Source organism: Homo sapiens, chromosome 6, assembly GCF_000001405.40.
Source record: "Homo sapiens chromosome 6, GRCh38.p14 Primary Assembly".
Lineage (NCBI taxonomy): Eukaryota > Metazoa > Chordata > Mammalia > Primates > Hominidae > Homo > Homo sapiens.
This window is the reverse complement of record NC_000006.12, coordinates 149,376,176-149,388,934: the sequence shown is the minus strand read 5'-3', so window position 1 is coordinate 149,388,934 and position 12,759 is coordinate 149,376,176. Positions and strand designations below refer to the sequence as shown.

The 12,759-nt window shown below is 38.0% G+C and overlaps 1 protein-coding gene across 12 annotated transcripts in view, besides 1 other annotated feature; it reads right to left on the bottom strand.

Annotated features, from left to right (window-relative positions):
• TAB2 (TGF-beta activated kinase 1 (MAP3K7) binding protein 2) overlaps positions 1-12,759 on the bottom strand; it is a 193,682-nt gene that overhangs the window by 22,673 nt on the left and 158,250 nt on the right. For all 12 annotated transcript variants that reach the window (NM_001292035.3, NM_001369506.1, NM_001292034.3 and 9 more), the window contains one exon: positions 9,417-10,917. In NM_001292035.3, the coding sequence (NP_001278964.1) occupies positions 9,417-10,917 (1,501 nt within the window). The remainder of the gene's footprint in view (positions 1-9,416; positions 10,918-12,759) is intronic.
• Positions 9,165-10,364: an enhancer, noted in NCBI's record as "BRD4-independent group 4 enhancer chr6:149699707-149700906 (GRCh37/hg19 assembly coordinates)". NCBI's record gives its function as "activates an origin of replication core promoter dependent on BRD2, P300/CBP, MED14 and CDK7 cofactors, and independent of BRD4, by STARR-seq in HCT116 cells {active_cell/tissue: HCT116}" and the evidence as "EXISTENCE:reporter gene assay evidence [ECO:0000049][PMID:35650434]".

Genomic DNA, 12,759 nt, shown 5'->3' with positions numbered 1-12,759 from the left:
CAAAATCTTGGAATATGGAAAGGCTTTCTAAATAAGACACAAAACCCAGAAGCCATAAGAGGAAATTCTGAGAAGTCTGAATATGTAAAAGTAAAAAATTTATAAGGCAGAAAAATTTTATTGACTAACTAAAAGGTAGTAACAAAGTAGAAAGAATAGGCATTTTACAGAAATAGGCAAGTTCATAAGGTGAGAAATACAAATGGCTGGAAAAAGAACACATGAAAAGATGTTCAACCTCAATCGTATTTAAATATGCAAATTAAGCTCCCAAGAAAAAGATGAAAATTTAAATAACCTAAAGCAACAATATATTTTTACCTATTAAACTGACTAGATAATACTTTTTTCAACCACCTACAAAATATGATGAGTGGGGAAAGGAAGGAGGAAAGAATATTCTTATAAATGTTACCAAAAATGTTACCCATTTGTAAGTATGGGAGCATAAACTGGTAAAATCTCTTTAGAGAGAGCCTCAAAATTGAAATTGGCAACATTTATTGGCAGTCATTAGTGTCCTTCCCCACATTCTTCTGGCTCTCTGTCTCCCAGGTATGTGGTAGAACTGTGCCTCCCTGTTCCTGCTGAATTAGGTGTGGCTGTGTGCTTTGTTTTAGCTACAGAGTAACATGCGTTGAGGCAGAGGCTTAAGGAGCCACTGCTCACCCACTATGTTTCCTTGGTCATGGAAGCACAGAGATGGAGCTTCCCTTAACCTGGGTCCCTTGGTGAGGGTGATGGAGAACAGAGGCCACCAGCTAATCTATATGGGACAGGAAATGTGAGCTAGAAATAAATCTTAGTTGTTTTTAAGACATGGTTTGTTACTGCAACATAACCAAGCCTAAATGATACATCTATCAAAATTAAAAACACATATATCCTTGGACACAGCAGTTTCACTCCTAGTAATCTCACAGTCTGCCAAGATACTTGGACATGGGTACAATTATGTGTACACAAGGATTTTTATTGCAGCACTGTTCATAAAAACAAGATTAGCAACTACTTAAGGTCTATCAAGAATGGACTGGTTAGATATTATGGTACACAATACTATGCAGCCATTTCTTAAAAAGCAGATCCTGCTGACATGGAATTCTCTCAAAGAGATAAAGACAAAAAAAAGAGACATAATCCTAGAAGAATACAAAATGAACTGTTTGAGAAACTAGTTATCTCTAGTGAGGGGAATTTTTCATTATATACCCTTTAGTTCTGTTTTCAGTTTTTTAAAAAAGCAAGTATGTAGGAAAATATTTTAATGCAATTCCTATCAGAATTCCAGTTGACTTCTATGTAGAAATTGACAAACTGATTCTAAAATTTACTTAGAATTTCAAGAGACTCTAAATAGCCAAGCCTATCTTGAAAAAGAACCAAGCAGGAGAACTCACATGTCCCAATTTAATAATAAAATAATTACAGTAATTAAGACCATATGGTATTGGCATAAAGAACATATAGAACAATGGAAAAGAATTGAGAGTCCAGAAATGAACCCACGCATTTATGGTCAACTGGTTTTTTACAGGGGTGCCAAAATCACTCAATGAGGAGAAAAAGTCTTTTCAACAAATGGTGCTGGGATACTTGGATAGCCACATGCAAAAGAATGAAGTTGGATTCTTACTTCATGCCATGATATAGAAATTGCATCAGAATGGATGAAAGATCAAAGACTAGAATATAAGAACTAATATTATATAACTCTTAGGAGGAAAAAATAGGGGTAAATCTTTATGACCTCACCTCAGAGTTAGAAACTGTTTCTTAGGACACCAAACGCAAGAGCAATAAAAGAAAAAATACATAGAGTTTGGACTTCAGCCAAATAAAAAACTTGTGCTTAAAGGACACCATCAAGAAAGTGAAAGACAATACACAGAATGGGAGAAAATTGCAAATCATGGAAGGGACTTATTTCTAGAATATACAGAGAACTCATACAACTTAACAATAAAGATGAATAACCTAATTTAAAAGTAGGCAAAGGATATGAATAGGCATTTCTCCAAAGAAAATATGCAAATGGCCAGTAAGCACATGAAATGATGCTTGACATCATTAGCCAATAGGGAAATGCAAATCAAAATCACAATTAAATACTTTGCAGCCACTAGGATGGCAAGTAACACAAAGTCAGATAAAAGCGTTGTTGAAAATGGGGAGAAATGAAAACCCTCACACACAGCTGGTGAGAATACAAATCACTTTGGAAAACAGTATGGCAACAATTCCACTGCTGAAAAGGTGGAAAAAAACAAAATGTCTATTAACTGATGAATGAATAAATGAAATGCAGTGTATTTATATAATGGCATATTTGGCCATAAAAAGGAAAGAACATGTTGCTGCTATACCATAGATGAGTCATGAAAGATCAGATTCCATTTTATATCACGTGTCCAGAATATGTAAATTTATCGAGAAAGAAAGTAGATTAGTGGTTGCCTAGTGCTGAGTGAGGGTGGGGGGTAATGGGATAGGGAGGTGATAGCTTACAGGATATGAGGTTTCCTGTAGAGGAGATGAAAGTGTTCTACTGGCTGGGTGATGGCTGCACATATCAGTGAATAAACTAAAAACTGATGTATACTATAAGTCAACTGCATGTATATTAACTATATCTCAATAAAGCTGTTAAAATAATGACTAAACATTAAAAAATTTTAAAGAATAATAGATTTACGTAACTTAATATATTTAAGAAAGTGTACTGTTCTCATTTAGTGAATGTCAGACATATTGTAGAGTATGTGCATATTATATAATCCCGTGTGTTCACAGACCCATGTGTATAGTGTGTTCCTGCTTTAAGAACAGTGTGTGTATACACATATATACACACACGTATGTGTATGTGAATATAAAGGGAATGAATATAATGGGAAGGGGAATATAATGGGAAGGGGATTGAGTGAATCTAATGGGAAGGGGATAAGTAACTGCTAATAGAGAATACCTCTCACAGTTAAATAAGGGAAAAGCTGGAGGAAGTGACAAGTCAAAGGTTGAAAAGAAACACATTTTTATTGCATTTGTTTTTTAAAATTTCTTTTACTGAGTGTGTTATTTTCATAATACTTTTTAAAGGTATTAATTTAATGTAAGAAATAACCAGCTAGTAGGTAGAGCTCTCCAAAACCAGAATATGCTACCTTAGGAGGCAGTTTGTGTCTCATAAGAATTTAAAGTACAGAAAGGATTTACACTTGATAGGCTGGATGGGTACGTGGACTGGATAACCTTTGGAGTAGAATTCTTCATGCCCTTTAAAGTCTCTTCCAATTCTGACATTTACCCCAAATTAAAAAGGTATTTAGTCTTAAGACTGGGAGGAACCTACAAGTAGTAGGGCTAATTTGAAAAAAATATTCTGTAAGTGGTCCAATGTCAACTAATCTTAATTGCTGAGTTTATTATTGTTATTTTAGAGACAAAGTCTTGCTACATTGCCCTGGCTGGTCTTGAACTCCTGCACTCAAGCAGTCTTCCTGCCTCAGACTCCCGAGTAGCTCGAACTACAGGCATGTGCTACTGCAGTAGGCTTTTATTTAATAAAGTGATTTCAATGTCAACAAAGAATAACAAAAAGGTATTTCCAATGAAAAGATACATAAAGTTAAACAAAGTACAAGTTTTAGAATCTGAACTAAATAAAATTATATTTCCTTTTGAAGAGTATCTTGCTCATTGAATTTGTGCCACAATAAACATTTTTTATTAAATCTCATTAAAAAGAAACGTGTTGTGATTTGGATAGATGTACTAGTGAAAAATGGTAAGGAATGAGAAACACAAAGTCCAAGAAGCTAATTTTCAACTCATAATTTTTCTTACTTGTATTTCTATTTTAGGTTCAAAGTCAAGGCTACTGCTTAACACTATGGTAGGACTTTAAACATAACTGAGGAAAAACCATATTAAAGTATCATTAAAAATATTTATCATTTTATATATGTAATTTTTTTTCTTTAAATAATAAAAAGTTTACCAGCTAAGTCAATACCACAGATGGAGTTGTGTGGAAATTGTATTTGGCAGCAATGTTAGTTTTTTTTAAGAGTTTCTGGCTTCTGTAACAAAATAAGAAAGTAGGCCTTTTTCTCTCCACCATGAAAATTTGTTGGAATGCTTTGTCCTCCATACCTATAAAAGTTGCCAGTGTTACAACAGGTATACCACTATGAAGACACTAGAATGTCTCAGAATATGCTGAATGATAGTTTTCAACATTTTTTGGAAGCTAGAGTTGGGTGGTATGACTTAAGGGGAAAATGTAGCTATATCTGACCACTGACTACCAGTAAGAAAATTTCACTTCTGTATTTGTTCTTAATGGGTAAAATAAGAATTTTCTTCATATCTATAAACTTTAAACTGAAAATTTCTCTCCAACCTTAATTTGTTCTTTCCACTTTTGTCTCTGATTCCTGTAGTACCTTAAGGAATCAAGTTTAATTTATTTCCTTTAGGAAGGATGGTGGTGCTGACAGACTTAGTGCTGAGATGAGTGGGGTCTTGATGTTTCATTAATTTACTTCTTTTGCTTCTGATCACTCTATAGTAGAGGATGTATTAAACAATATACCTTTCATAAACAAATTTTCACTTTTGACAGTTTTTATCACAGTATTTTAGATTTCAAATGGTAGATTAAAAGAAAAAAGAAAAAATGCATTTTGGTTACCAAATTTATGTATGTACGTATGTTCCCTTCTCAATTTGGAAAAAGTATTTTCCTATGATTCTAGTGCCTGGCTCCACTTATTTTTCTACTCTAAAACAGTATTTCCAGGAGCATTAGAAAAATCAATTTCACTGCAGAAGACCGAGATATTTCTTTTCTTTTTCTTACCCATACCACTCAGAGTTTAGAAAAGATCCTTGCTTAAAGATCAGGATTACTCAGGCCACCCCGTTTAGTAACTGCAGAGAGTGTCTGTGAACTATGTAGGGTAAAAGCAGAAAAGATGCATTTTCCAGCAAAGGCCTCCTTTGTCTTGAATTAAGTGAATGAAACACTAGATCAAGATTGTGTCACTGAGCTAGGTGCGGTGGCTCACGTCTGTAACCCCAGCACTTTGGGAGTCTGAGGCAGGCGGATTGCCTGAGGTCAGGAGTTCGAGACCAGCCTGGCCAACAAGGTGAAACCACATCTCTCTTAAAAATACAAAAACTAGCTGGGCGTGGTGGCATGTGCCTGTAATCACAGCTACCCGGGAGGCTGAGGCAGGAGAACTGCTTGAATCCGGGAGGTGAAGGTTGCAGTGAGCTGAGATCGTGCTACTGCACTCCAGCCTGGATGACAGTGAGACTCTATCTCAGAAAAAAAAGACTGTGTTACTGGGTGATAGGTCAATCTGGATCAATACCAGTTCCATAGTAAACAGAAACAAGGAGAAGAAAAGTTGGAGAACAGTACCAATCCCAAAACAGTGTGCACACACAGATAATGCAAAACTATGTAGTCAAACAAATGTTATAAAATTCTGTATGTATGTAGGTATGTTTAAAGGTTGTTAGAGCTTTAACCTCCATCAAGGTTGTTAGAGCTGTCCGAAGGCTGTTAAGCAATTTGAGGGGCAGATTCTGGAGAAACCTGCTTTCTTGGTAGGCTTTAATTTAAGCTCTCAAACCACAGACTTCTCTCATCAGAAAGTTTTTTTATTTTTACTTTCAGGTGTCCTCTGAAAGTGCTCTCTACTTCTATCCAGGGTGTTACTTTATTGTTTAGAGTTCTTTCTTTCCTTTTTTTTTCTTCTTTATTTTTTTGAGACGGAATCTCACTCTGTTGCCAGGCTGAAGTGCAGTGGTACAAACTCGGCTCACTGCAACCACTGCCTCCCAGGTTCAAGCAATTCTCCTGCCTCAGCCTCCTGAGTAGCTAGGACTACAGGTGCACGCCACCACACCCAGCTAATTTTTGTATTTTTAGTAGATACCATGTTGTTTCACCATGTTGGCCAGCATGGTCTTGATCTTTTGACCTTGTGATCCACCCGCCTCGGTCTTCCAAAGTGCTGGGATTTCAGGCATGAGCCACCATGCCCAGCCTTAAGTTATTTCTACTTGTTGTTATCTATTTACTGTGTTATCTTTCCCTATGGTTGCCTTTTTTTAATTAATGGTTTTTTAGCTACATCCCTCTCAAATTGAGGCACATGTGGCCCCCACAGTGTTGTACCATGGGCTATAAGTGAAGCTACAAGATACACTTAAAATATCTTTCCAGAGGGTTTATTATGAAAATCTGGAAAGAAAGACATTATATGATAGTGGTTAACATTGTGGGCTTCTCTAACTTCCTAGTTAGAATTTTTTTTTTTTTCCTTTAGACAAAGTCTTGCTGTCACCCAGGCTGGAGTGCAATGGCATGATCTCGGCTCACTGCAACCTCTGCCTCCCGGGCTCAAGCGATTCTCCTGCCTCAGCCTCTCGAGCAGCTGGGATTACAGGCGTCTGCCACCACGCCCCGCTAATTTTTGTCTTTTTAGTAGAGATGGGGTTTCACCCTGTTGGCCAGGCTGGTCTTGAACTCCTGACCTTGTGATCCACCCACCTCGGCCTCCCAAAGTGCTGGGACTACAGGCGTGAGCCACCGTGCCCAGCCTCTAGTTAGAATTTTGACTCTGCCACTTGTCCTTTGACAAGTTACTTAATCTATCTGTTCTTCAATGTTTTAGTCTAAAAAATAATACTAGTGCAAATAAAAGGGCCCTAAAGTTTGCCTTCTATGTTTAAGGAAGAGAGTAAGAAGGCCAGGAGGGCTGGAACACAGTGAGCAGGTGGTAAGCAAAAGGAAAAGAGCTGGGGGGAGAAGCTGCTCATCCTGTAGGGCTTCATAGCTTTTATTCTGAGTGCAATAGATAGTGATCATGTGCAGAGAAGTGATATGATCTGATGCATATTTTTAACAGTATCTCCCTGGATGCTGAGTTGAAAGAAGACTGCAAGGAGGCAAGGACGAGAATGGGTAGGTCACTGCAATAATCCATTTGAAAGGTGATGATTGCTGAGACCACAGTAGTGATGATGGGGGAAGTAAGAAGTCACAGGCCAGGTGTGGAGGTCACGCCTGTAATCCTAGCACTTTGGGAGACTGAGACAGGCAGATCTCTTGAGCCCAGGGGTTCAAGACCAGCCTGGGCAACATAGGGAGACCCTGTCTGCAAAAAAATACAAAAAGTTAGCTGGATGTGGTGGTGTGTACCTGTAGTCCAGCTACTAGGGAGGCTAAAGTGGGAGGATCACTTGAGCCCAGGAGGTTGAGGCTGAAGTGAGCTGTGAACATGCCACTGCACTCCAATTTGGACGAAAGAGCGAGACCCTGTCCCAAAAAAAAAAAAAAAAAAAAAAGAATAGGAGGGGAATTGAAGATAGCAAGTTTAAGAAACACTTTATTTTCACATTCTAGTTAAACATGAATATCTTTTTAATATCACTAAATATGAATGCCTACTTTACTTGAAAATTTCCCTTATCAAATTATCTTCATAAAAAATTTGCTACTTAAGAATCAGCAACTATCCAACCATAGGAAACCTGATGTTTTGATGGAAGGACAGGAAGAGAAGGTGACTTTGGGAGAAGAGGAGAATTAAGTTGTAAGTGGAAAAAATAATAGCATATAACATTTATAAACTGCTGAAACTAAACAAAAATGGTTGTAGTTAATCACAGATATATGGAAAATAAAAGTTTTAACACAATTTCTAGGGCAATTGAAATCACTCATGTACCCCTAAAATGCACACACACAAATACATGCACACGCATACCTAGGATTCACTTTACTTAAGTTTGGGCAGAGCCCTGCGTACTTTATTTTTGAGATAGGGATCTCGATATGTTGCCCACGCTGGAGTGCAGTGGTGCCCTGCAACCTCAAACTTCTGGGCTCAAGCAGTCCTCCCACTTTAGCTTCTGAGAAGCTGGGACTACAGGCGGGTGCCACTGTGCCCAGCTGATTTTTTAAAGCTCCATGAATGATACTGGAATTCGAAAGGACCACAACCCAGCTTGGACTAAGAATCACTAGTGTAGCTGTTTAAAACATAAAATAAGGCAAAGCAATTAGGACCCCCTAAGAGACTCAGCAGTAAAATCACTGTATCAGAAATGTAAAAAAGGATGAGGATATTAGTGACAGTAGGGGCTGCATGCTGCCTGAGGGTGATGTTATAGTATTTTCCAACCTACAGCTGATACATGAAATGATTCACTGCAGATACATATATGACTAAGATATGCCCTTACTCTAAAAGGCTCAGTTCATCTACAAACTGGCATAAATATTCAAGAAAATGAATAACCTCCACCTTCTTATCTAAATGTATTTATTTAACAGTCCTACTGAAAATTATGTAACTTAAGAGGTTAGATAAAACATATGACAGAAATTTCTCTATTTGAATTAATATAGACATAATGTAGTATGCCAATATCAAATAGTCTATTTCAGAAAAGGATAATCAATTGAAAGATTTGAAAATAATGTCCTTATAATTCCATGTAAAAAGAAATATATTAACCAACATTTAAGGGAGAATAAAAGGGACAAATATCAGGAACAAGATTCAAACTTCTCTTTGAGGTAAATTATTCTAATACTTACGCAGTAATAGACTTAATATAAAATAAGACTAAAATGTTGTATTAGAAAAATGAAGAATTTCCCCCCACCCCAGAGAAGGGTCTCACTCTGCTGCCCAGGCTGGGGCAGAGTGGTATGGTCACAGTTCACTCTAACCTTTGAACTCCTGGGCTCAAGCAATCCTCCTACCTCAGTCTACTGAGTAACTGGGACTACAGGTGTGTGCCACCATGCCTGCATAATTTCAAAACCTTCTGTAGAGACGGAGTCTCCATATGTTGCCCCAGCTGGTCTCAAACTCCTGGGCTCAAATGATCCTCCCATCTTGGCCTCCCAAAGCACTGGAATTACAGGCGTGAGCCACCATGCCCAGCCAAGAATTACTTATTCTTCAAATATCTGGTCAAAGAAGGCAAATTTACCATATTAGTCAAGAGAGTCAACTAGTTGCTTATTAAAACGTTATTTCTAGGAATTTTTATTTACAGAAAATTTAAAGAGAAAGTCAGCATCACCACAGGTATAAGATTAACTGAAAAGAAAGTGTTATAAACATTAACAAACCAACTAACCAGATTTGGTTACTCTGAAGAGCTGATAACCCAATTACTCAAACTTCCAGTTTTATAATAATAAAATAAAATTAAAATTAAAATGTATATACATATAATACTCTCAAATGTTACAATAACATCATTTGGGGCAATATTTAAACAATGAAATAACAATGCTAACATCCATTTCTGTTGTGAAATCAAATGCACACCAACAAGCCCAGCATGGAAAACCATCCCACCTTTAGTATTCATATTACCTTGTGTGTAGGCAGCATCATCAGATCCCATACTCAGTTTCCGTGTTTCACTTATTCTATCCACATGTGCTAATGTAGGGTCCGTGAGGTGCTGAATATTCTCGGTTTCTACATAATGATCAGGATGATTAAGAAGATTTGTAAGTTCAAAGGTAGGGGACACCACCCCTGGTGAAACTGCAGGGGGCTTATTGGGAGAGACTGTAATTTTGAAAGTGTATTTCGTATTGGGCTGAGTGACTACCACTCGAGGAGAGGTTGCAGAGTTATTGCCTATTGCTCGACTTTTGGGAGGATGGTGATGAATAAAGGCAGGACCCATGCTCACTTGCCCAGACATGTTCCTGGAGGCAGCAGATGCTCCAGAGTTTGTGGATATGAAGAGTGTGGGCTGATTCCGCATGACCTGTTCATCTCCTGTGGCAGCATTCGCTGAAATATAGACCTTAGGTTGACTACGGGACATCAGCTCATCCGTATTTGGGGGGCTGGCAGCTATGTAAACAGTGGGCTGATTTCTGTTTAAGGTCTGGCTATTGACTGAAGAGGAAGTGCTGGAGGTTCGAGGTCCAGAAGAACGCAGTTTTGAAGAATTATTTCTTTGTGGGGGTTCAAGTTTGATTTCAATCTGGTTTTTTCGAGGTCCTGTTGAAATATTCTGAATGTTATATTGGCTATGGGCAGAAGACTGTGAGCTACCAGATGAATGAATGGTTGGTGGTTGTGAAGTAGTAGGTGAACTGATTGGCATGTAGACATGAGAGGTCTGGTGGCCTTGCTGATTTGGCTGTTGAGATGAGGTATGTGACAGAGGATTAGATGCAGGACAAGTAGTCCAGGGACCAGGCTGTGAAGGCTGATAAACTTGCTGAGGGTTCATGGGATTAAACTGAGATACCCAGCCAGAATGCTGTTGTGTCTGTCGAGTTGTACCACCAGGAGTTGTAATGTAAGGCCTAATATAGATAGAATTTCCCTGTGGACTGTTAAGTACAGGTGGAGGTACACCATGTATGTGCAAAGATGTAGGAGTATTACGACCAGTCTGGATATTTGGGGCTAAAGTTACCATAATGGGATTAAATCTGGGAGTTTGTTGAGAAAGGCTAGATGTTCCTTTGCTGCCTAAGTGAAATCCAAGATGTGGTGCTGAATTTGAAGCACCAGAGGAACTGGACATTCCAAAAACATTAAAGCCTTGAGGAACTTGAGCTGGTGCTGTCTGTGGCTCCTGCTGAAATAGTTCACTATTGGACTGGCCACCTTGAAGTTGTCCATCACTAATGCTGTGCGTTAGAGTCCTACTTCCATTCATCCTACTTCCTTCTCTTCCATGGTGGTAAATGTTCTGTGATTGCAAGTCCAAGTTGAGAGAAGTCATGTGATTGCGTAGACCAGAAATTCCAGAATCATCTGAAAAATTCAAGTCTCCTTCACCATAAAGATATCTTGTACTCTCCTGAGAGAGAACAGCACAGCAGGCATCCAGGTTATTATTATTCTATGAAAACAAAATAAATTGATTGATGTTAACAATCAGAAGCGAATGCTTATATTTGCATCTCTACAAATACATGATTACCAAGTGACTGGCTAATACAATTATAACATATATTTGGATATTTAAATTTGAGAAGTTTTTTTATGCAAATGATTGAATTAAAAATCCTCACTACTAATGTAATGGAAAAGCTCTCTCTGACTAACAAAGTGAATCAAATCATTGTTCCACTTTAGCAGCTACAATGGATACGAGGAGTAAAATGGATTCAGACAGATATAGTAAAATTATAACCTAATTAAAAAGGCAATTTTAATGTTGAACAAAATATAATCATTCAACTTAAGTATATAATACTGTATAATCAAACATTTTTTAAAAAGCTAAATGGAAAAATATTCTATCAATGTTTGATATATAGCACAATGTATCAAGTGCTATACACATTTGTTTAAACTAATAAATGTTTAAAAAGTTACATTTGTAGCATTTAAAGTTCTGAAATTCATACCAGTCATCTCAATCCTTCACACGCTTCCTCTTAACTTGTGTAATCCCTCTCTCTCTGGAGGCTCAAGGTAGCCTCCAGAAGAACTAGCTCCTATCTCTGCCTTTAGATAACATCATAAAAATCTACTCCAGAGTGGCGGGGGGGAAAAAAACCTCAGATTGTTTTTACGCTTGTAATCCCAGCACTTTGGGAGGCCGAGGCGGGTGGATCACGAGGTCAGGAGATCGAGACCACGGTGAAATCCCGTCTCTACTAAAAATAAAAAAAAATTAGCCGGGCGTGGTGGCGGGCGCCTGTAGTCCCAGCTACTCGGAGAGGCTGAGGCAGGAGAATGGCGTGAACCTGGGAGGCGGAGCTTGCAGTGAGCCGAGACTGCGCCACTGCACTCCAGCCTGGGTGACAGAGCGAGACTCTGTCTCAAAAAAAAAAAAAAAAATAAGTTACATTTGTAGCATTTAAAGTTCTGAAATTCATACCAGTCATCTCAATCCTTCACACGCTTCCTCTTAACTTGTGTAATCCCTCTCTCTCTGGAGGCTCAAGGTAGCCTCCAGAAGAACTAGCTCCTATCTCTGCCTTTAGATAACATCATAAAAATCTACTCCAGAGTGGGGGGGGGGAACCTCAGATTGTTTTTAAAGAATTCTCAAAAGATACTAACTAACCAGTAGTCATAAATCATCCACGAAAATGTTTGCCAAACACATACTATATGCATAGCACTGTGAGCCTGTGGAAGAATCAAAGACATATAAAACCAAACTTTTCCCCTAGAAAGGGAGACAAACCACAGATTTCTGAAAAGGTAACATGAGTACATGCCAAATATTAAGTGGTAATGAAGTTCAATAGAGAATTAATATTGTAGGCTACCGAAGAAAGGACTGAGTTAATGAGGAAGGTATGGCCTGATGGTTTTCATAGAATATGTAGAACTTGAACAACAACAACGACAACAACAACAATTCTTGGTGAAGAGAATGGCACGAGTAAAGAAGAATATAAAGGTGAGAGTTAAGTAAAAGCATGTTCCAAACAAGATGGCTGGAACAGATCTGGCTGGAGCTAAATATTTGTATTGAAAATGTTGTTGAACAAATTGTTGCAAAAGCAGATTGGAATTAAATAACAAAGGAGTTTTGAAAAATAAGTCACGCTAGAGTTTGACTGTATTATAAGCAATGAGGAGAGCTACTGAAAGTGGATGAACAGAGAAGTAAAGACACAAAGGGTATTCAGGGAAGAGAAGTCTATTGATACTTAAGATGAATAAAAAGATGAAAAACCTTTGGCAAGATGAGCAGTTAGAAGACACAAAGTAACGAGAGTTT